The sequence below is a fragment of the Homo sapiens genome, chromosome 3, assembly GCF_000001405.40.
Source record: "Homo sapiens chromosome 3, GRCh38.p14 Primary Assembly".
NCBI lineage: Eukaryota > Metazoa > Chordata > Mammalia > Primates > Hominidae > Homo > Homo sapiens.
In genome coordinates this window covers 100,826,295-100,851,621 of record NC_000003.12, presented here as the reverse complement: position 1 = coordinate 100,851,621, position 25,327 = coordinate 100,826,295, and the positions used below count along the sequence as shown (strand labels likewise).

The 25,327-nt window shown below is 36.5% G+C and overlaps 1 protein-coding gene across 57 annotated transcripts in view; it reads left to right on the top strand.

Moving 5' to 3' along the window:
• The window catches only part of ABI3BP (ABI family member 3 binding protein), a 244,266-nt gene that overhangs the window by 141,800 nt on the left and 77,139 nt on the right, over positions 1 to 25,327 (top strand). For 20 of the 57 annotated variants that reach the window (XM_006713572.4, XM_005247299.5, XM_011512641.3 and 17 more), the window contains 19 exons: positions 888 to 962; positions 1,503 to 1,577; positions 2,747 to 2,821; positions 3,949 to 4,020; positions 5,176 to 5,250; positions 9,583 to 9,624; positions 10,764 to 10,802; positions 11,458 to 11,550; positions 12,006 to 12,053; positions 13,158 to 13,220; positions 13,338 to 13,412; positions 14,451 to 14,498; positions 15,962 to 16,021; positions 16,849 to 16,938; positions 18,465 to 18,497; positions 19,272 to 19,358; positions 20,988 to 21,044; positions 21,958 to 22,041; positions 23,170 to 23,229. In XM_006713572.4, coding sequence (XP_006713635.1) covers positions 888 to 962; positions 1,503 to 1,577; positions 2,747 to 2,821; positions 3,949 to 4,020; positions 5,176 to 5,250; positions 9,583 to 9,624; positions 10,764 to 10,802; positions 11,458 to 11,550; positions 12,006 to 12,053; positions 13,158 to 13,220; positions 13,338 to 13,412; positions 14,451 to 14,498; positions 15,962 to 16,021; positions 16,849 to 16,938; positions 18,465 to 18,497; positions 19,272 to 19,358; positions 20,988 to 21,044; positions 21,958 to 22,041; positions 23,170 to 23,229 — 1,251 coding nt within the window. The remainder of the gene's footprint in view (positions 1 to 887; positions 963 to 1,502; positions 1,578 to 2,746; positions 2,822 to 3,948; positions 4,021 to 5,175; positions 5,251 to 9,582; positions 9,625 to 10,763; positions 10,803 to 11,457; positions 11,551 to 12,005; positions 12,054 to 13,157; positions 13,221 to 13,337; positions 13,413 to 14,450; positions 14,499 to 15,961; positions 16,022 to 16,848; positions 16,939 to 18,464; positions 18,498 to 19,271; positions 19,359 to 20,987; positions 21,045 to 21,957; positions 22,042 to 23,169; positions 23,230 to 25,327) is intronic. The other 37 variants (XM_024453445.2, XM_047447921.1, XM_047447917.1 and 34 more) reach the window with 20 other exon arrangements.

Sequence of the window (25,327 nt, the reverse complement as noted above, 5' to 3'; positions counted from 1 at the left end):
TAATAGCTTAATGAATTGTTCAGAATCATAAAAAGGTCTTCGAGTTTCTAGAGGGTTTTGTCTGGAGCAGTAGTTCTCAAATGGGGGGTAATTTTCAACTCCCATACCTTCCCCAGGATATTTGCTAATGTGGAGACAGTTTTGGTTGTCACAACTTGGGGAAGCACTCCTAGCATCTAGTGGGTAGAGATGAGGGGTGCTGCCAAACCCCTGCAGTACACAGGCAGCCTCCCACAGCACAGATTATTTGACCCTAATTGTCAATAGTGCTAACGTGAGAAACCTTGATGTAGAACAGTCACATAATTCATTCGGCTGTAGCAGTTCAATTGGGTCTAATCTTTGGCATTCAATTACTGACCCATCTATAGTGAGTTACCTCAGTCCGACAGCTCCTTTCAGCAAATGTTTATCAAACACCTACTAAACTGGGTACTGTAGGAGATTCAAAGGGAGTAAGACTGGTTTCTGCCAGGTATAGATATATGTCTGATATTTTTTGTATGTATAATATTATTTGTGTCATGGTAAATAAAGATGAATAATTTTAAAGAGCAGAAAATAAAACAATGAAATAGAATGTCAGTGGTGAGTTCAGTTAGCAATTATGAAACAAAATGGAGGAAACCAGAAAAACGTGTTGAAAACCAGTTGAATGTATAAAACACTGTTTAATCATGGTTTCTAATATTTAAAGTATGTATGTTTTTTAAAGTGAGCTCATCTTCAACTCCTGATGTATCACTAGTTTTAAAATGTGGGCCAGCAAGCCCTCAAGTATTCTTGATATTTTTCCTCATATGAGGCATAATTTATTACTCATGAATTTGTATTTTATTCCTGGGGCCTTCTACTGCTTTTACAAATGTTGACATTTATTCCAACAGCAACAAGTGATCGTATTCTGGATTCTATCCCACCTAAAACTTCTAGAACTCTTGAACAGCCAAGGGCAACACTGGGTAATGTTTTTAACAGAAAAATCATACTTTATTTTCCATCAAAAAAAAAAATCATGTGAATGCCTTTCTTCCAAATGACCATTTCATTCCATCACATCTAATCATTTATCTATCCTATTTCTCAATATATACATCTATATATTTTAAATGCAGTCATCTTTTACGTTCCATTTAGGGCTCTATTTTATTTTTTTGAGCTGTAATAGATAATATTTTCCCTATCCTTTTAGTTGTGAAAGCTTTGAAAACTGCATGGACGTCATCACCTGCACCATCTCACTTCACATGTTTGTGGCCTGTGTCACTTTACTTCCATGCATCAAGTCTGCCTGAAGTCATCTACTGAACAATCATCATTCTAGCCTTTTCCCTACTTTAAATCAGAATTTTATTCACTAGCTTTCAAGACTACATGCATTTTTCATCTTTAATCATGTACTCGTGGCATGTGCTTTATACCATCTAAAAGCATGTTAAAATTCTTCAAATACCTCATTTTAACTGGGATTATTTGATGGGTTGGGGTGTTTGTGCTTTCAGCTCCAAGTGAAACACCATTTGTTCCTCAAAAACTGGAAATCTTTACCAGTCCAGAAATGCAGCCTACGACACCTGGTAACTAATGACATTTATGTAGTTATGTATGCATTGACGAAACAGGTAATGTGAGAAGTCATGTTGGCCATTTCAGAATTTTGTTTTTCTTTTGTTTGTTTTTGCTAAATATTTCCCTTCAGTCTCTACCATGAAATTCTTCCAAGAATCTGACTACTTAGCCTTATGATTATCCTTAAAGAATTTTCACAATCCTGATGACTATATATTTTGAGGAATTGTTTCCTTCCAACTCTTCTTTCAACTTTGCCAGCTGGAAACTAGCAGCAGAATTATAGATAATTATTTCAAAATATGTTCCCTTCTACTTAACACAGTTAGGTACCATTTGATCAAAGTATTTTACCCAAAGTAGTCTAAGTATAGAGAGCACCAAGTAGGCTTTGCAGTCCTGGACATGATGAAGAAAGATGGTTAAAGAGAGGTAACACAACCTACATTTTATAACAGAAAATTATTGAAATAGCGAAGTTCATTGACTCTTGGTGGGGATAATAAAGAGCTACAGAATTAAAGTTCTGGGCCGGGTGTGGTGCCTCACGCCTGTAATCCCGGCACTTTGGGAGGCCAAGGCAGGCAGATCACATGAGGCCAGGAGTTCAAGACCAGCATGGCCAAAATGGTGAAATCCCATCTCTAGTCAAAATACAAAAATTAGCCGGACGTCATGGTACATGCCTGTAGTCCCAGCTACTCAGGACGCTGAGGCAAGAATTGCTTGAACTCGGGAAACCAAGGTTACAGTGAGCCAAGGTTGCGCCACGCACTCCAGCCTGGGTGACAGAGTGAGACTCTGTCTCCAAAAAAAAAAAAAAAAAAAGTAGTTCCAAATTTCCATTATTTGTGCTTCTCTCCTGCTATTCAATGTCATCCTTTTGAGTTCTTAATTGTACCTTGTGTTCTGAAATGCCTCAAGGGTGCTCACTTCTGATACATTTAATTGAACAATGTATATCTTCAATTCTCATGTAGAAATTTTATACCTTTTGTCCCAGTCACCCCTTGTTTATTGAGCACCTCCTGTGTATAAAACAAGGTATACTGGACATTCTAAGGATACAAGGAAATATAAAGCAGTTCTTGTACTTGGAGTTTGCAAATTTACAGGCACAACCTGATTGACCCCTGAAAAATATCATTTATCAAAGCTATATTAAATCTTCTTTCAGCTCCCCAGCAAACTACATCTATCCCTTCTACACCTAAACGACGCCCCCGGCCCAAACCGCCAAGAACCAAACCTGGTAAATGTCTCTTTATATTTACATGATATGTAATTCCAGATAGACAATGTCCATTTTCTTATAGTAAGAAGGATAGCCAGGTGCAGTGGCTCACACCTGCAACTCCAGCACTTTGGGAGGCCAAGGCAGGAGGATCACTTGAGGCTAGGAATTTGAGACCAGCCTGAGCAAGCTAGTGAGACCCCGTCTCTGCAAAAGTTTAAAAAATTAGCCAGGCATGGTGTGCTTCTTGAGCCCAGAAGTTTGAGGCTGCAGTGGGCTATAATAGCACACTGCACTCAAGCCTGGGCAACAGAGCAAGACTCTATCTCAGGGAAAAAAAAAAAAGGATATGTTTTATAGATTAGTTTCTTTACAAAATTTGAGATTAACTAAAGATGAATAATTAATAATGCAGAATAACAAAACTCAAGTGTCCAAAAGGGGTTTACTGAAAATTATATTTTTGCATGTGAATTTTGGTAAAAACCTAGAAACAAGTCCCACTCATAGCAATACAGAGTGATACATGTAATTCGTTTTTTGGTGTGCATGTTTATTATAATGTTCATTCGAGTGATGTTTCTATTTTTTTTGGTACCTACTCTGTTTTCAGTTTTTCACCAGGGCAATGGCTGAGTTAGAGAGGACATGACTCTGGTTTTCAAATAGATTATAACCTTGAGAAGATAAAACATAAAAATGACAGCACAACGTACATTTACATAACTTATTTCCAAGACTGTAATATTTTTGTAAATGCTCCAAGAAAGAGTTGAAGATACAGACCCCAAAATACATGTAGGATTTGGAAGAAAAGGAGAAGGGAATAACATATATATTATAGCACAGAGTTTGGGTGGTACAGATGCTTATTAACCTGGAGGTCAATTCTTCATTGTCAAACAATATACTCAGAATCATGCTTGACCAACTGGGTTTTGCTTATTCCATTATAAGATAAATGTAATTTTGTATGATGTATACTGTTATGACAGTTTAACAATTCTTCCTCAAAACTTTTACTCATTGTATACTTTGACTACTAAATATGGCAGGATTTTAAATGGATCATTTAGTTCCTCTTTAGAGGGTGTCTTTTTATTGTCTCTAGGATATTTCAATATTTTTTTCCTTTCCATCACCAGAAAGAACCACAAGTGCCGGAACAATTACACCTAAAATTTCTAAAAGCCCTGAACCTACATGGACAACACCGGGTAATAATGATATGTCCTTAGTAGATGTGTTGCTTCATTTCACCATGGAAAATCCAGTACCCCAGCTTTTATGTAATGTCTGTTACCTGTTAAGATACTCAAAACGGTTCATTTGAACAGCATGGCCCATCTCAGAGAGTGCACCAGCTCCATGGCTATTGTGGTTGTGGCTAGCTGGCCCAACAGTTAGTAGATCTGAACTCAGCCTTCAGATGTCATTCTGTGTCAGCTTTTGAACCATTGCTGCTTCCTTGTCATCTATCCAGTCATTGTATTTGAAGTTGAATCTTGTATATAGTTCTCTTTTTTTTATTTTTTAGTAAGACTCTCAAGTTCAACTTCCAACTTCATTTGGAAAAACAACTTTTAATTTTAATGTTAGTAGAATTACTTTATGCTTCAGATCATAGCATTATACCTATTGGTGAATTTTTTTGAGAGTAGTTTTTTTCTTATTAAAATGTGTTTAGGTAGACAGGCCCAAAGTGACAGATTCTGGAAATATTAGGAGAAAAAGAAAAATGCCACCCTAAAATTGTATGCAGGAAGTTTAAATTTATTGTTGCATCTGCAAAAGATATGCACATCAGCTACTGGTTGAATGATTTTAGATTTTTCCTTTTTAGTTTATAAAGCTGATAAAAATATAGCTGGTCTTAATACCTAGGTGAGGGGTTGATAGGTGCAGCAAACCACCATGGCACAAGTTTACCTATATAACAAACCTGTACATCCTGCACATACGTCAGTGAATATTAATTGTAAAACATGGTGTTTTTTCCCCCTAGTGCTCAGACTTAGATGAGATTGAGAAATATGAAGTAAGGGTGCAAAATAATTAGACTGATTTTTAAAAATCATAGATTATAAGAACTATCTTTACTTTGAGTAGTTACTGTGACTATTTAGTAGTAATGCTATATTTGTTGATTAAATATACTCTTGAAATGTTTTTTCTAAACAAGATAAAATTAACTACTTCTCTGTGAATGGATCATGAAATATTCTCTTAATGGAATATTTCCAAAATCTTCCAAGACGATGAGTTCATTCCATTTAATGTATAGTTTATTTCTAGGTTTTCCTTCTGTGTTTTTAGACACTGAAATGCCTAAATATTGATTTGTTTATTATTTTGTTTCTTTATTTTTCCAGCTCCCGGTAAAACACAATTTATTTCTCTGAAACCTAAAATCCCTCTCAGCCCAGAAGTGACACACACCAAACCTGGTAATTACCCTAAACTTTTTTGAATATTCCAAAAGTGGGGTTGAAAACAAGTTCTTTGCAATTATTTGGAGCAAGAATTTCTGATTTATATTTTGACATTTGTTACATTTTTCCATGAAAAGTGTAAGCATGCAATGAAATGATCTAATCATAAATAGCCACTGTGATATCACAGCATTGCTCTCAGCAATGTTCATGATCATCACAGAGAAAACACAGAAATGTAATGATATGAATGATTGCGAACTCCCTTGTCTACTACTGCAAAATAGTTTCCAATACCAGTGTTGACTGGAATTCTAATCTCATGAACAATAGCCTTTCAGCTGGAAAGGGGAGAAGTGTTTCTATCTTCTAAGAACTCTGCATTATTTTAGAGTTTCTCAGTTCTCAGGCTAGAAGACCAGAAAGACCTGTATTTTCCCAATGCTCCAAGACTTCTAAATTGGGGCTGATTTCTGAACACTGACCTCTGTTTACCTCTTAGGAATTTTTAGTGGTGTTTTCCTTTAAAAAAAAAAAAAAAGGCTGCTTTTGCAGGAAGGGATCATTCTATATATATAATAATTTAAGACATAAAAAGACATAAAGATTGTGTAACATATTGAATGACCACATCTTGGAGTTTTTTTTATCTATCTGTAATCCATGTGGCAGTTTTAAATGTTGACTTATAAGATTGACTACAGGGAACCTTGTCACCACTCAGTGTCATCATTATCTAAATTTTAAACCCTTAGCTCTGGGAAGAAATTATTTCTCACAATAATGTTTAATGGATTTTGAACTTGCATTTCCATTAATGGCATGTTTACACAGTAGGATTATTAAAGCAAGAGATTTTCTGCTAAAGTGGGTATGATTTATTTTTGCAATGAAATGGCTAAGGAAGAAAAATGTAACTGCTTAAAGAAAAAATTCTCATTACTCCCTGTAAAGAAGCAGTGAGATTTCCAGGTGTAGGTGCAGACGGAAGGAAATTAGGGATTAGGCAAAGGGAGTATAGTTGACACTGTGACCATGGATGAGGTCTCCAAGTCAGAGAAATGGAATGAAAAACTCTCACTCAGGGTTTTCAGGGGAAGAAGCGTAGCTAATAAAACTCAAAAGCCTTAATAGTGGTTTAAATCAAATAACTCTGACAGCTGTATGAGAGAAGGGTTTAATACACACTTATTTAAAAATCATGCTTAGAGAGCTTTGGGATAGAGTAGTAACTATGCTGTATTTTGAACAGAGGACTATTACCAAGCTTGAGTCACCAAATTTAAATAAGGTTTCTCTCAAATGAATTATTTCTGTTATTACAACATAAAATTGGAAATAGTCAAATTTCTCCAAACATTGGTTATAGTTTATATATGATAGGTTGCGTTATTCATTTCAGTGGTTTCTAAGACAAGATTTCTGAGAGGAAATTCTTTAATACAAATGAGGGAGGAAGGTTATATTTTTATCATTGTAAGGTGTTTGAGCAAAAAGACTTCTTAATTTGACATTTCCTTTTAACATGGGAAGAATTACTTGGAGGCTAATGTGTTTACATTCCTTTGATTTCTAAACCTTCTAATCATCAAAGAAAATCCACCCCTTTTCCTCTAACAGCAATGTAATGACTTCAGAATCCACACCTAGGCCTGTGCCCTCAAATGGACCTTGAATGGTCCATAGCAACACAGGATGATGACTGGATCTCCGCAAACCATTGCTTTGATTTTAGCTTCTTAAATTTTATTTATTTTTATTTAGGGCAGACCACCTTTATAGCTCTCCTAAAGATGTCTCTTTCTAGCCAAGGTTTGGAAGAGCAAATACACCACCCAAAGCTTTTTGAGGCCTTTCCCAGCCCTCTCCGCACACTCTTCTATTTTTCTGTTTCACTTTCCTTTACAGGCTCCTTTTCCTTTGGCTTTGCTTGGTGGTTAAGTCAACGAGTAAAAATCCACATTGATTTGGGCTTGTTTTATAAGTACAATTCAGCGCATTTCTCAAAAACCACAGCCACCTACCATGTCTTAACTTGTCTACCTCGTCCAGTGGGAATTGTTTCCTTCATGGTTTAATCTTTAAGCTTCTAATGGACTGAAAATAAGGGGGTGCCCCCAATTACAGGTGTTTGTTTCACTTGACCGTCTTCCAACGTGGATAGAATTGTAAATTGTTCTCATTCCTACACACATGTGAGTCAAATTTGTCTTTGTTTTGTGCTGAGATGAGTGGCTTAGTCATTTACAGACCACTCAGCTTTGTTATGGAACATTTTATACCTTTACCTATAATACCTTATGATTGTCAAATAGAAGGCGTGTCAGAAGATATATTTATTTTTACTAAACATAGACCTTACTGTTTTTATGTGCAATTGACTTTGAAGCTTAATTGATGGAGTTCTATCCCTATTTGGTCTCAAACTCAGCCAGGAACTCAAAAATGCAGATTTTTCCTTATAATTTCAAAAACAACGTTCTTTAATTTTTGTGAAGTCTAAAAGATGCAATGAGTAGCAAATTTTATTTTTCACTTGTGGAAGGCAACTTTGTAGAATCAAAAACATGAATTACAATCTTGAAGTTTCAAAATAATTTTTTGTTTGCTATCTTCAGGTATGAATGCTTATTTGATATTTATTGTATTTCATGTATTGATGTTTATTTTCTTCTTGTCCTATAGCATCTGAGGTACTTAGACCTATACATGCACTCCCTTACACATACAATTCCCTTTCTCTTTCTCACACACTCTCTCTCACATGCATACTCTCCTCTCTCTCTCCATCTCCCAGACACTCTTTCTTCTCCCCTTCCCTCTCTCTCTCTCTCTCTCTCTCTCACACACACACACACACACACACATCCTCTCCCTCCCTCTCTTTCTTTCCCTCCCTTCCTTTCTCTCACACATACACACACTCTCCCTCCTCCCTTCTCTCTTCTGTCATACAGACTCACTCACACACACACACACACACACTCAGAATTTTTACTTTGTTATATGAACTTCAGTCTGACACATCACTACTGCTTTTGCCGTTCATCTGTTACAATCTATTTCTGCACAAGTTCTTGAGAAATCAGAATTCGGGGCTTTTAAAAACAACTTTAACCTGCTTCTTTTGCACCTAATTTGTACTCTTTAGCCTCAACACAAAAATTTTTTGATCACAGATATGTTAATGGATGATAATGCCTTTAAATAGCACCTTATGCTGTTATGCATTGCTTTTAGAAGAAATAAAAATTCTGTACCTGCGTTATTATATTTTTCCATTGAAGTAGTTGTTGTTAGTTGCTACATAGAAACTTGTTATAGTTCTTTTTTAGTCGCTACGTATTCTCAAAACCTGCCACACTCCCTTGTCAAGTAATATCAGAGATCATTCCTGATAAGTCTAATATTAGAAATGTATAAGTAGAAGAATGACTTCAGTTCTATTAAGATGGTCTATGAAAGCCACATTGATTAGTTTCTTTCTTTAAGAAAAGTCAAAGAATCTTAACTTTTTCTTTCCATTTCAAAAATAAACAATTCCTTTTTAATTTTCTCCTTAAACAATACTTTTTGTTGATAGAATAATGAGAAACCTATTGGGTAATCTTTTTTTAAGCCCAAATATTGTAACCAAGCTAAATTCAACATGAAGTTTAATTTACTTATTGCTAGTTTGAATAAACATTGGAAAGTTTATCAGAATATTTAGATACTGTTATTTAATTTAGCATCTTATGAAATCTGAGACTGCTTTTGGACTCATTGGTTTACCAGTCCAAATGGGTTAAGTTTCATATGTGAACCAATTTGTTTACCAGCGATAGATACTAGTGAATACAGGAGGCATCATATGAACAGTTGTGGTCGCTTTTGAACAATAAGTTTAATTCTTATCTTTTTTGTGAGAGAACGTCAGGTCCAGCCAAGCTGGAGATTGCAAACTAACAGCACAGACACAGTACCAGGTGGTGAGTCTGTTGCCTGTTCCATTTCCTTGGATGAACCTGGCTGTCCTGCAAGAAACAAATATCAGGTGACAGGACACTCTGAACAACCTCAGAGAGGCTACCCAGAACTCCCTCTAAGTTAGTATTTCCTCAGCACCAGAGGCAAACCAGAATATTGGGAAGTGACGGTAACAGCTAAAGATCAACAACAAAAATGAGAATTCTCAATTCTTGTGGTTTGTAGAGAGGATGTGGAAGGTTGAACTTCACTGGCAGAAGCCAGTAGAACCTAATCATTCACCCAGGAGAGAACTCCGTTTATAGTCAAGAACATGTCACTTCTATCTCAGATGGTGCTCTTCAGCATTGCTTTTGATATTACTTGCTTTTATTACAGCCCCAGAACCTCAGACTCTACTGCCATCACAGTCAACAATAGGTAATAAAGCTTTTTTTAATGAGTGAAAACAAAGTATCTTTAACACTCTCCATGTTCAACTTTGTTCAGCTTTGGGTTTTGTTTTTTTTTTTTTTTCTTCTCCAGATGAAGTTTCACTCTCGTTTTTTTGCCCAGGCTGGAGTGCAGTGGCGTGATCTCAGCTCACTGCAACTTCTGCCTCCCAGGTTCAAGCAATTCTCCTGCCTCAGCCTCCCAAGTGGCTGGGATTACAGGCCTGAGCCACCATCCCTGGCTAATATTTTATATTTTTAGTAGAGACAGGGTTTCACCACGCTGGCCAGGCTGGTCTCAAACTCCTGATCTCAGGTGATCCACCCACCTCGGCCTCTCAAAGTGCTGGGATTACAGGTGTGAACCACTGTGCCCAGCCTAATATTTCTTAATTTTCCTTCAGATCTTTTTCCAGCCATTTTTGCCCGAAGATATACTCTCAGCCTGTGCTTGACTTAGCAGTGGTTCTGAGACACCCATGAAAGCAATACTAATTTTAATTTGATAGATTCTTTATTCTCCTTCAATTACATTTGAGGAATATGCCCTGAGCTTGTTCTAACCTGTTTATTGCCAGGGAGGACCCTGACTTTCATAGGATATATTTATGTTTTCTCTTTTGGAGGTGTTTTTCTTACTTTCAAAACTCTAACTTTTGCAGATTTTCTTGAAAAGTGCCACGGACTAGGAAATCCACTCAAAGAGAGAAATAGAAAAACCAACCCCAATCTTTATAGCTTCTTTTTCTTCAAAAGAGCAAAAAAAAAAAAAAAAAAAAAAAAAAAAAAAAAGTGTTCTAATGCCATCTTAGCCAATTACCCATATTTTCCTTCATAACATGAACTGCTGGTTACTTTATTACAGTCACATGTTCCAAGTGAGAATCATGCCTTTTTGTTCCATTTCTCTTTCCAAACTTAACTGACTGGCTACATTTTTTTGTTCGCTTTGTCGAAAACACAGGAATCTATTGAAGTAGAAAAGAAACTTTGCATGTGGATAAAAGCTTCACCATTTATATTTGCTCAATCTAGTAATTAAAAATTAAGCATATTCCATGTTTTAAATACATGTCATTTTTCCTTTGATCTTGATTCTTTCTTGGTGATTTTTTCACATTGTCTTAGGACCTGAAACACCAGGAACCAAACCTTCAACAACATTAGGTAATAGAGTATTGAGTGGGTGACCTTTGTTTCTTCTTTTCCTGTCTGCTGGTATCTGTGTTGACAGACTCACATTAATGAATTAATACATTAATGTCCCTTTGTGTGTGTGTGTGAGTGCTCTGTTCTTCAGAAAAAAAAGTTAATTCCTATAGGTATAGTTTATAAACTGTATCTCATTTTTTAAAAGTTGCCTGTCCTGACATAATTAGTGAATTTAAAGCCTTCTGCATATATTGTTGATTTGTGGATATTTTAAATGCTAAGTGAAAAATTTATCTGTTTAAATCTTAGGCCAAATTTTAATTTTTATCCCAAATGGCTTTATAAAAGCAACCTTTCTCATGTTCCTGTTGAACATATGCCTTCAATATTTTTGAGTGACTATCTTCTCTAAGCTGTACAAAGTTTTGAGATTTTCCATCTCAAAATGGAAGAACAGACAGATCTCTTGGACAGTTTATTAATCTGTGACAAAAAAATTATTCAAGACCTCATTTAACTACATAAATAATGATAGAAGTTTGCAAAACAGATGGAAACATGTCCACAGTAAATCAAAGGGTTTAAATGTCCTTCTAAGATGGATGTAATATTTATCATCAGTTTGTAAATCCACCCTTCTTGTATTAACTTGCTAATTTTCTTTCTTCAGCACCACGAAAGACCAAAAGACCAGGTCGTCGCCCCCGCCCCCGTCCCCGCCCTAAAACCACACCTAGTCCAGAAGTGCCCAAGTCCAAACCCGGTAAATGTGATATTCAGGTTCCAATTAACATAGAAAGTGGAATATGGCAGCTTCTGGTTTGATATCAGCTACTTGAGCAACTGGGCTTTAGGAACCAGTGGAATTGACTTTTATAACTGAGCATCTGTACTCAGTTTCTATATTCATTTTATATATGTAATATTTTATATAATATGTTTATACTCTCAGTCATAGTTATTAGGTACACACAGCAGAAAGCTGGCCCATTAAGTGAATTATTAAAGTAAAGCACCTTGAAATCTTATGATGTACATTCATGGCAGATGAGGTGTGGGAAAGCAACAAGGAGAAAGGAAAATGGGAACTGTAAAAGGGAAAATCACATTCAGAAAAAATGCATCATTTAGGTAGTGTCCCAGCTTGAGGCATAATGTCTCCCTCCTCACGATGCCACTTCTTGAAATATTTCATGTTTTTGGTATTTGCTTCTGTAGCTCTGGAACCTGCCACGATACAACCGGAGCCCTTGGTGCCCACAACTGGTAATTCTACTCCCTCCACCACGGCTGCTTTCACGGGTTGTAGCTTTTGCTTTCCCCACTCTCCATTACAGGCATGACTGCAGTTCCACCACCTCATCACAGTTTCATCCCACGCTTTTCCTCACCTTTCCTGTCTGGGTCTGAAGATCCTAAAGATAGGAGAGTTCTAAAACAATCCAGTGTGCTCATTTAGGGAAGGTCTGTGGTCTTGGACACAACTTCCTGGTTCTCTGCTGACCTTCTGTCTGCCCTATATGTGTCGTGGGGTTGAGAAAGCCATCAACTCCTTCTCAGACAGGGACCTCTGTGCTCATCCTGAACTGAACAAATGGCAAAATTTTACTCCAGTGCCATGGTTAGCATTTCATTGCTTTACTGATTCAACTTCTAGGACTTTCTTCTTTTTAAAAAGTTGCATGAAATAATGGCTTCTTCGGCTCTTCTGTTTCTTTGAAAAATGTTTTTGAATAGGTATGGATAGCGAGAGGAACCAAGATCGTTCTTGATCTAGAATCCAATGTAAAACTAGTGATGGTCTTTGGAACTTGACAGCATTAAAAGTCCCAAACTGGTTTTATTGTTTTTAGTACTAATACTGTTTGATTATAATCATTTCATTATAGTTTCTTAGCGCTCAAAATCTATCATGGCTTTACTTTGGGAAATCCCAGACATCGGCAGCCATGTAACATTATTTCTCATGTGTAATTTCAAATGTTTATGGATTACTTCCAGATCGCCTCCTAAGCAATCAGATTTCTACCTTACTGTTTGTATACTGAAGAAAACCTTTTGATCAAAGACATAGAACTAATATACTTTGTCTATTTTGAAATTATTTATATAGGAAAAATGTCTTATGACTGTCCTCATTACTTTTGCTCAAAAACACATTTTGAGCATTTAGTAATTAATTTTCCTTTCTGGAAAAACTAATTATGCTAGTGTGTAGTTAAAATAGACACTCTTTTCACCCTTCCCACACCCCAGAAATGTTTATAGATTCGTTGAATTTATATAGTGTCTTTGTTCTGCATAATTGTCCTTAATTTTGACAGTCACAGCCATGACCCATTGTGGTAATTTTAATACCTTTTTCTTTAGCCTCAAAACCATCTGAGAGACCTAAAACCACACACAGACCAGATGCACCTCAAATTCAGCCTGGTAATCATTACTTTCAATGCCTTGATCTATAAATAGGAAAACAATGTGTAAGTAACATTAATCTCCACATTCACAGCTCAGCCGTAACACTAATTATGGCACTCTAATTTTCTTCAGGTTCAAAACCACCAAAACAATTACTTCCTAAACCCCAAACCACAGCAGAACCAGACATGCCACCAACTAAATCCGGTAAACATAATTTCCAGTGCTTTAGCTTAACAGGATTTTCTTTGGAAACATTGCTGAAAATGTTTCCAATCTGTCATATCATATAAATCATAGAAATCCAAATACCATAATTTTGTTCATTATCTTCTCCAAGTAGCCACACTGATGTTTTAAGTGCTAAATGAAAAAGTCAATATGTAGGAAATTAGTAAATTTTATACCTGATTGACTGGCATTTCATTTTCTTAAAGCTTTTTTAGGCCTATTTTCTGAATTTGTAATGAACAGAAGCCTGAGTTTTCTGTATCTGAAACATTTTTGAAAGTCATTTTAGTAACCACTGTTAGTACACACAGAAGGCTGACACTGTTCTTCATTTATAGGCACAACTGAAAAGAAGACTTGCTAGTCAGGGATTAGCTTCCTCTAAAATACTCTATTGACATTTTATTTTATTCTATTTATTTATTTATTTAGAGATGGAGTCTTGCTCTGTCACGCAGGTTGGAGTACAGTGGTGCAACCGGCTCACTGAAACTTCTGCCTCCCAGGTTCAAGTGATTCTCCTGCCTACGCCTCCTTAGTAGCTGGGACTACAGGCACCCACCACCACACCAGGCTAATTTTTGTATTTTTAGTAGAGACGGGGGTTTCACCATGTTGGCCAGGCTGGTCTTTTGAACTCCTGACCTCAGGTGATCCACCTGCCTTGGCCTCCCAAAGTGCTGGGATTATAGGCATGAGCCAACGTGCCCGGCCAACATTTTAAACAGTAACTGTTAACTGAGTAATTTTCTACCACATAAGAAGATATTTATATAACAGTTCTCAGAATCCAACTGTTTTGCAGTTGAAATTTTCTCCCAAGATTCCAATTAGTATAAAATTTTAATTTGCTAAGAAGCATCTCACATAATAAATAAGCCTATCAAGAAGGCAATTTATATTAATTTAGAATAAACTAGACTCTGTGTCCTCTGAATTAAACACCAATGAGCACCCAAAAGTTTAGACTTCCTTGCTTTTATTACTTATATCTGTTTATTTTTTATGATGCAGTCTCTGAGCCTGTTCCATTTGAAACTGAAGCTCCCTCAATGACCATAGGTAATGATGCTTTCTTCCTTCTTGGCCAATGTTTCTCTGAGCTTGCGCCTCTCATCTCTTTTTTCATTAGCTATAATATGCACAATTGTCATTCACCATTTTTGTTTTCATTTTTAAAAATTTTCACTATTTTCAACAGGGGCCTTTTTAACATCATTAGGCATCCTTACATCTGCTGCTCAGCTTGTAACACATAATTGTTATTCTTTCTTCGATCACATTCAGAGACATTCAGATTGCTTGAGTCACAGTCACTCTGTCTATATCCATCTTTCAAACCAGAAAATTTTTTGAAACCTCTGCTTCTTTGTGGGTACAATTTATGGATGTGGGAGGGGAGCAATGAAAAAGCTGGTTGGAGTTTGTCCTCAATGTGTTTATAAGGAGCTCATGATGGTACATAACTGTTTCTTTCTCACAAAAGTCCTTTCTTCCTGTTCCACATTATTCATATGCAAATTGATCTTTCTGTTGCTAAATTCATCTTGCGATGCAAAATTCCCAACAAAATAAGGATTCTCTGTTTTGTTTGAAGGCAATTAATTATAAATATTGTTGTCATCCTGTTGTCCTGACTTCCTCCATCTCTTCTATTATATATGCCTTTAGTTCTGAAGATGCTCTCAGTGGTGGCTTAAACCAACTTTGTGCTATGATGTCTTGAGCAATAAGAGAAAGTCAGCCTCTCTATAAATGCCTAAAGAGTTTTTGAGGATGAGATGTTTGAATGTTACATTTAGCCTTCTGGGTTTAGTGAAAGATAAATGGAGATGCTAATACCAGAGAGTTACAATTCTTGATTAATTTTATATCTATGTATAATCAATTTCAGAATGTTATAGAAATCCTTTATATCTAGACAAAAAGTTGTATTATTACCTTTTAGACCTTCTTCTTAATTATCTCTGTTTTCTACTTGAATAATTATCTCCTAATTAGCAATTTGAAATAAATGAATAAGGAGGCAGAGTAAGAAGCAATATCACATTTATTACAAATAAAACGTACAAGACTTTTGCACAACTCTCACAAATCTCCAGTAAATAGACTGAAAACATCTTTCTAATTCTCCTCACAACTACCACTCTCAAAACAAATTAATAATGGTGGTGAAAACTTTTTAAATACCAACAGAAGCTTTTATAACAAATTTTTAGAGTACTTTAAAATTATATATTGGACAACTAAGATTTTCTTGGATCCAGGTTTTTTATGTTGTTGGAATCAGATAATGAAATACAGAAAAATATTTTTCATTGCCCTTATAGGGATGCAAAGGGTATGGGTATTTTGTGAAATAAATGGATATGATAGTTTGGCTACTTAGGGGAAAACAAATACTATTTTCCCAGAGTTCAGAAATGTATTTAAAACATTAAAGGGTTAAGAAGATTCATTTTCAAAATAACTTTGTTTTTCTGTATTTCTTAATCTCCATTGTTTATTGTATTGCTTTTGGTTAGTTCCCACCACAGACATTGAGCCTGTAACTGTGAGAACTGAGGCTACAGTGACAACATTAGGTAATGACCTCTTATGTCTTTAAGTATGAGTTTTTTCTGCTCATTGTCTAGTCTATTCCATCACTATTTGGGCTAAGGGTTTTTTCTTTCATAAGATTTTCTCATCATCCTCTTGTCATTGAACTATATTCTTCATTTTGAATGTATTGAAAGTGCTTAAAACAAGTTACTTGGTTATAAGCCCATACGCCACTAGTGAACAGCATCTGTGTCCCATTTTTCCCATATTATCCAGCTTTATTAATGCTTGACAGAGCCTGTGATTCTGCTCCAGTAGTGTTCTATGTTAAAACTGAATTTCAAATACAATTAGGAATGTCTGCCTGATAAATATCAATTATAATTCTGTGGGCATCTTACTTTCTGTTGTTTTAAGATATACAGAGAATTTTTATTGTCTACCAACTATTTTAGAAAACAAAATGTGTTTATACTAATAACTTGTAATGGAATGTGTGTCTGAGCCAAGTAATTTCTTAGTACGCTCTCCCAAAAGCAGGCAGGCCTGGGTCCCTCTCTGATGTGATGTCTACGTGCCTATGTCTGACTTCCCTTGGGTCTGGGCCCTCTTTGAAAATCCTATACCAGCAACTAATAATAAAGTTGCAGTTTATTTTTTTAAATTACATATATTCCATCTGTCTCAAAAGACCTGTCAGTAGACCAAAAATACATATTTTTGCATATAGATGATCAGAAGAAAATTCTAAACCAAAGAGACAAATTTCTCAAGACTTAGGAAAACTTTAGAAAACCTAGAACCATGTGTAATCCTTTCTTTGGTTTCTGGAGTCATATGACTACAATAACCAGTTTCCTTTCTTTAGCTCCAAAAACATCGCAACGAACAAGAACACGTCGTCCACGTCCCAAACATAAAACCACGCCACGCCCAGAGACACTGCAGACCAAACTAGGTAAATAATATGTGGTTCCTTGTCCCTGTGGCATCCCATTGGATGTGGCATGGGGGTGGCAGTTTAACATGCCACTTTATAACCCACTTGACCCTTGGGGTGAAGGCCCAAGTCATGGAAAGCAGCTGCTACCAACACAGTGCTCTGGCGATACCTGTGACTTCCTCATTCTGATTGCGTGAGGACCTCCTTGGTGCCTGGGAATTTTACTTGCTTCTCTGACATTCAATTACATTTTTCTCTTTGATTCCTCAGCTCAGCAAAAACTGACCTGATTAGGTGTCTAGTTAGCATATTTAGTTCAACCTGTCACACATTTTGAACGTTTGTATCTGTGAGGAATATTTTAGAAAAAAACAAATGACTTACCTGTGTGAGACTCTTCATAATAGATATACAGGAATGTGAGGAAAAGCAAATATTTATTAAATTTTACCAACTGTTAGGCACATCGTTAATTCTTAGAGAAGCAAAACATCTGTGGGCTGATAAGTGTAATGTGAACCTTTAGGGAGAACTCCATTTCTACAAAAAATTTAAGAAAAACTAGCCAGATATGGTGATGTGCACCTGTAGTCCTAACTACTTGGGTGAATGAGGTGGGAGGATCGCTTGAGCCCAGGAAGTCGAGACTGCAGTGAGCTACAATTGCACCCTTGCACTGTAGCCCAGGCAACGGAGCAAGAGCTCATCTTGTGGACCTTGAAATTTGTAGAGCCTGTAGATTTATTGGTGGATGGGTAGGAATCATATAAACAGAGGCAGGAAGGTGTCGTGTGAGGGTGACATTGGAAGGATAGGAATTGCAAGTGCAACCTGATTGTAAGAAAGGCAAAGTTCTTTTAGTTGGACAGTAATGCTGCTTTTGATGGGTCTACAAAGAGCACTTCGAATGCCTGACTTCGATGATTGGATTTGAGCCAATTGGCTCCAGCACGCTCTCCTAACCTAGAGGTCAGGCCTTTTCTCTCCTGATAACAAAGAGATGCACTAACAAGTTTGATGGATTGAATGACCCTCTATATCTGGTTCTTTGTATGCCTTTATTTGAACAGAGGTCTTGGTCTTTTTCCAAAGTGCACTCTCAACAAAGAACAGCATTATCTGTTTTAGTCATTCATCAGTGTATCTGCTTAAACATATCAGTAATTGCATCTATCATGAACTAGGGCTTTGTTTTCCAGTTTATAGTGTAACTACACTTTCACATTAGTTTTTCCTAATTTTTAAACATAACATTATTAGATGTCCTAAGATTTTTCTAAGCAGTGTTTTCTACTATATCATCAGATAATATAAAAATAAGAAAAACTGGTAGTTAACCATGTTACAGATGCTAAGGTTATATCTGTTTCATAAAAGCAAATAAATATGTACCCTCACTTGAGAACTTCAAAATGTTTGCTTTGTGGCTATAGAACCAACGCTATAATGGTAAAGTTCACTTTTCAAGAGAATGATGGCTTTTCTCGTGTGTTTAACATTTATTTCTTTTTAAAATTGCTTTTGATCATTTCTTGCTACAGACTTTGGACCTATTACTCCTGGGACATCTTCAGGTAATGACTCTCTATGTCCTTCAGCAAGTCCTTTTTCTTACTCATTGTCAGATTTTGCTATGGTGCTATATAGGCTATTGTACCATCTTTTGTTGTCATCTCATTACAGTATTCATCTCAAAATATGGAAAGCTTGCTTTTTAAAGAAATATGCAATGACTTAATTCAAGACAGCTATCTGCTCCATAGCCCAGCTTGAAACTGTGTCATGTCTGAGTCTCTGAACAATACTCTTAGAGCCAAGATCCAACTACAATTCCCCATATATTCCTTATTTAGAGCACCAACGTAGTATCAAATGATATCATGAAGTTTCTTTATGCACCTTTCTGTTTTTCAAATTGTATGTAATTTTTTTTGCTTTATTGATGTTTCTGTGAATTTTATATACTTAGTCTAGTAAGTTACCAAGTGGAAAATTTGCCCAAGCCTAGTTATCTTAAATTATAAGTGAATAGTGTAGGGTTGGTTAGAACCTCTCTCACACCATCAGAGTTAAGCAGTGATTTGGGTTAGGGACACTTTCAAGAAAATAATGATAGTTTCTAATGTTTGTTTCTTAAATGTAATTGTATGTACAATATTTGTCTCTGGAGAACTTTCAGTTATCAAAGAAAACCTATTAAGATACTGAAGGAGAAAATTTCAAACGAAAATGACAAAGTTCTGTCAACTCAAACTCTAACAAGTATTTTAAAACTTAGAGCTATGTCATCCTATTCACAGTGAATGGAGCCATCAGCACCATATTAATCCTAAATTTTCTTCCTTCAGCTCCAACAACAACAACAAAAAGAACCCGTCGTCCACATCCCAAACCTAAAACCACGCCCCATCCAGAAGTACCTCAAACTAAACTGGGTAAATATGTAGTTTCTGTTTTGTAGAATCCAAGCAGTCTACCACGGTTGGGACTGTAAGTTCTATGTACATATAATCTATTGTGTTGTGCCCTATATATCTCTTAAGAGTAAAAGCTACTGGTTAGTGAGGAGAACATGAATAGCTTAGCATCTCTTGCTTCCTTTATAGGGATCTTCTCTGCTGATGATTATTTACTCTTCTTGCTCTTTTATTTCATTCCTGTCTTAAAGACAAAGCTGCTCAGTATTGAGCCAGCACAATCATTTAAATCAACTACTTTTATTAAGTCCCTTCTAATTCCCCAAAGCCATATTAGTCCATACATCAGAAGTGGGAAGAATGTTTTCTTTCCCAATCAGTTTACACTGTAGTTGTAAACAAAAGCTGTTCCTGCATAACCAGTTAGAAACGAATATGAGGCAGCATGTTTATGCAAATATAATTTATTGCATTGCATAAATGCCACCTCCTAGAAGCATGGCAAATATTTAGAGGAGGAAAATGTCCAGGATAATTAGAAACCAGCATAGAAACTGGATGAGTAGAGGGATGAGGGAACAGAGGCTGATAAGCAGGGAATGTGTTGAAGTTGGCTCACCAGACAGAGGATAACTCGTTGATACCCTCCTGTTCAGTGATGAATTAAAGGGGGCTGGGATGTCTACTCAAGAGCTTAAATTTGATCTAGGGGGCTTCAATGATCCCTACTTCTGCACAGGATCATGCTTTTTCTGTTCTTAGAACTGAAGATACCCAGCCCAATGATACCAAAAACTGAGAGTTGGTTCTTCAGCTACTTATGTTAAGTAAAGCTGTATTTACTAAAGACTTAGTCTCTTAATGAGTGTAGTCTCAGCTTCCTTTTGGCTGTTAATATGTGTGGTGCACAAACTCTAGGGCAACCTCCCAGTGATTCCCTGCTCCTGGAGTTAACACCTTTATATAATCCATCCTCTCCTCCTCATCCTCTCTCTTTCCCTCCCTGTCTCTCTCTCCCTTGTGCTAGCATGGCAGACACACCCCCAGCACATGCACCTATTCAACAGAGTGACACCCATCACCTTTGCCTCATTTTATTGGTTAAAAAGATGTCAGAGATCCAGCACACACTCAAGGGGAAGAGATGACTCAAAGGTGTTAACACCAGAGGCAGAAACCACTGGGGATCACCATAGGGGCTCTCTGCTACACTGTGTTTGCTTTCAAATGTAAATGTTTATTCTATCTATCATTATTGATTACTGCTTATAATGAGTGCTCTTTGGTTTTTTGGCTTCCACAGAAGTTCTAGTCTTTACCATATCTTTTTCTAAGAAAATGACTAGCCAGATTTTCTAGTGTTCATTCGAATCATGGTTAACCAACAAGAAGATCTTACTATTGACCTCAGTGAGATGCTCAGCGAAGTCCAAAGGCTATTGCTGACTGTCTTCTGAGTCAAACGAGTACCTGATTAAAGTTTGGAGAAATATTCAAAGGAAAAAAATACAGCCACTTTCTTTTGAGTTATGATATTAAGAATTAATTTTGCAGCCTTAGAAATCCGATTTTTGGTGGTAAGATGAATGTTCCAACATTTCATGCATTCACAAAATCTCTTTGGTTTCTTTTATTACTTTTGATCAGTTCCTGCCACAATCCTCGAACCAGTTCTTAGAACTGAGGCTTCAGGGACAACAGCAGGTAATGGCACATTATGTCCATCAACATCTGCCTCTCCTGCTCATTTCAAACCCATTCATCACCATCATAACCACAGCTTCTCCCGCTTCACAAGGCTTCTGTGTTATCCTCTATTATTCATTACTTCTTAATATGTATAAGAGTATTAAAACAATTTCTTGTTGGTAAAAGAGCCAAGCGTGAACTTAGGGTCGGTTTATATATTGCAATGTAATGACTTTGAATTACCCACATCTTGCCCCCACATAACATTTTAACCACATTCTTTGTTACTAAGTTTCAAATATAATCACTGGAGGGTGGAGGTGAAGGTGTTTGTCCCTGATCTAGACTGAGTAAATCGGCACAGCTATTACGGTGTGACATAGTTCTCTTGCAGATCTTAATTTCTACATTTTTACTATCTGCATTTTATATATATATATATATATATATATATATATATATATATATATATATATATATATGTATGTATGTATGTATGTATATGTATATAGCCATTTGGGGTAAGGGTGTGTTCTTGTTTCAGTAAAGAGTAAAATTTTCCCAAGTAAAGAGTAAAATATGCCCAAGGTTGGTAAATTTAAATTGTAAGTACCATCACAAATATAAAATCACCCTATACTTACCCCCATCACCGCCATAACTCAGCAAGATTTTAGAACTTGTTCTTCATTCAGGAATCCCTGTGAGAAGCTCCTTGAAATATCATCAATAAACTCATATTTCTATGTGATTTTTATTCTTCAGAAAAAGCTACATGATAAAAAGAGACACTGTATTGAAATAGGGGCAAATATTTCAAACCCAAAAGAAACATTTCTTGGAAGTCAAGAAATTATAACAAGTATAATCTTATCCACAGCTTCCGGAACCAAACACGCTGTATTAACCTGAAGTTTTCTTCCTTTAGCTCCCAAAGTGCCTCAACGAACTCATCGTCCACATCCCAAACCTAAAACCACACTGAGTCCCGAAGAGCTTCAGACTGAACTGGGTAAATTTGTAGGTCATGCTTGAGGAATCCTAACAGCCCACCCCAGTGGGACCCAAAGAGAATGAAGTAGCTGGGCATGGTCAGCAGCTGATTCCACATCAGACTAGGCAATGAGGAACAGGGCTGGGGAGATGACGTGGTAGCCAAATTCCTTATGCTTCTCTCTCAGCATCTATTTAATTTACTTCTCATTCAATTCTCTTCATCCTTTCAATGTTGAATATATGATAAAGTGAAACAGCCAGAGAAGGAACATATGTTCATGCAAGTGGGAGATTATTTCTTGTTAACTATAGGAGTCACGTAAGTCACAAATAAGGATCTAAGGCAGGAGTTGGCAAACATTTTCTAGACAGAGCCAGATAGTAAATTTTCTAGGTTTTCTGGGCCATATAGTCCCTGTAGTATTTTCTTCTTCTTCTTCTTCTTTTTTTTTTTTTAACAACCACTTAAAAACAGAAAAATCATTCTCAGGGGAAAATCAGGGGAAGAGTAATAGAGAAATTCAGAAAGGCAGGGAATGTATGGAAACCAGCCTGAGGAGGCAGTTTCTCTGACCACTGGAGGCTGTCAGGCTTCTAGGTGTTGATCAGAACATTTCGTTGAGGTGTCTGCAGCTAAGTGAGAAGGGGTCTTGAATGCTGGCCTGAGGAGTTTGGATTTTAGGTAGGAATCATCTGCATCCCTGTGCAGTCAGGCTTTCTCTGGGTGTTGCCCAGCTGTATACCACAGACTGAGGGGCTGGCCCTCTTCTTGTCCTCTTTGGTACTCACGTTGGACAAAGCTCATGGTCTTGTTCCAAAGATGAGTTTTCAGCAAAATGTGTATCATCTACTATGCTCTATTAGTTAGGTTCAGATCACCAAAGAATGAGAAAAACTCCTGGGACACTTCACATGGACCGTTATCTGAATTATCTGACTACAAAGTAAATGGCCATTCTTCCTAAGAGATGAATTGGTACCCAAGGACAGAGGTGTCATTTTCTCCCAGCTCAGGAGGCTAATTGTGTTTGCTTCGTGCTCTGGACAGATATGTCATGACCTCGTAAAATTCTTTTTGAATGTTCTGAGTTTTTATAAATTTTTAATGTTTTGTTGGTGTTTTATTTTTATTATTTTTGGCCAGTTCCTGCTACAATCTTTGAACCAGTTTCTCCTATAAAAGAGGCTCCAGGGACAACATTCGGTAATGCCACTTTTTGATCTTCAGCAAGTGCTTTTTCTGCTCACTGTCAAGCTTATTCCACTGTATATTGCCATTCAATTACATTTTTGGTTTTGTAACGGTTGAACATGCATAAAACAAGTTGCCTCTTGCTCATAAGAGAGCTACATCTGAATCTAGTTTGGGATCTTTCCTGGTCTGTAACTTAAAATGTTTATCATATCATTTTGTTTTTGGCTTAACCAGAGTTCTCTATTAAGGGAGATTTGACATATTCTCGCGAGGTTCTGACCTGATCTACGCTAACCAGGCTGTAACACAGAAGTTTCTTAATATATCCCTTATACACCTCCCTTTTTATTTTTTTCCTTTTTTGGGGGTTTATATTTTTGTTTGTTTTTTTATCCCACTTGCAGCCATTCCCAAACATCTACCTTTTTAATCTGCCTGTTATTTTTGTTATTTTGTTAATGTATGAGTAATATTTTTAGTGAATTAATCAACAGATAATGTGATCAAGGCTAGTAGATTTAAATAATAAACTGTATCCTTAGTATAAATTGCATTCCCCCTAGTCTCCATCATAATCTGGATGATTTATAACCTTTTTAATCCAGGCGGGGCACTCTACAGAATGTGATAAACATATTAATCCTAAGTATCTGAATTAATAAATTTATTTAATCTGTCAAATTTGCATCTTTGCAAATTTGTTATTGAAGTATCTTAAATAACAGAAGAAGATAAAGTATAGTAGGAGCAAAATTTTTGCATTAGAAAGATATATTTTCTGAAGTTCAGGAAAATCTACCAAGCTTTGGAAAAGCTAAAGATTTTTTTTAAGTCTATGATGTGCAGAAGCATAAGATTTAAAATAACTAAAGGTTATCTTTTTCTACCTCCAAAAACCTTCCATTGAACATATCATGCACAGCACAAACTTAATACCACTCCTTGTCTGGCTACTCTTGAGACTATACCAGATAAGTGTAGGGTCTTTGGTTTATGGAGCTTAGGAGCCTGTCACTGATAGAAATAATAGACTCACATACCCCTTAGTGAGGGCGTCCAGAGGGTTGTTACCCCCTCATGGTTGACAAGGAGTCAGTTTAGAAGAGACCTGCAGGATCTTCCCTTTTTGTAGTAGAAGACATGTTTTACTTCGCAGTGTGCAGGCTAGTTGAACACAAAAACTTCCCACGCGAAAAGCCTAGAGAATGAGAATAAGCCAGGGTGTTTTTGCAAATTAAAGATTTTTCTTGGGAATATAAATGTTAAGTGTTAGACTTATTGTAGGGTCTTAAAGTAAAAAATGAATTTGGGTTTCAACAGAGCCAGGAAAGAATTTGGGTCTTGAAGTCACATCACAATTTGCACAAATAGGAAGGTAAGAATGAACAAAGATAAAAAAATTGGATATAAATAGAGGCGACCAGAAAGGGCAGAGATCCTGCTTCTAGGGTCAGCCAAAACATTTTTGTTGATAATTCTGCATTTGGATGACACCGTGGAAAGTGGACGGAGGGCTTGAATGTCTCATTCATTGAGTCTGACATTGTTCTCATGAGCATCAAAAGTCTTTCTTCCACACTAGATCATGTTTTCCCTCTGCTAAGTGTAGACAATAATTTACTGGATGCCACAGACTGAGTGGCCACCCCTTACCCAGCCTCTTGAGTGCTTTTGTTTGGACAGAAGTGAAAAGTTCTTTCCAAAGTGGAGTTCCCAGCAAGATCATCAGTCATTTTTAGTTATTTGTGTGATGACCATTTGGATATTTCATCACTTTTTCTGCAACCATAATTTGATAAACATATAGTACATGTTTTCTTTATTCAGCATCACTAAAGTGCAAATTAGTTTTTCACGTGCTTCTTGAGAATTATTAGAAACATATTTAAGTAAATGCCTTAAAACATCCTAAAGTCTTCCATATTATATTCAGATAAACACCATAACTACAGGAATTGTTTGCCTCATGTAGTGCTAAACAGAGACCAAAGATGATGACCATCTCATGAGATGGTGTACTTGATATAGTTCAGCCAAGTCTAGACAAAAAAAATTAATTTCCATTTGAAAAAGAGCTGCCATTACAAAGCAGTATAAATTAGGTGGC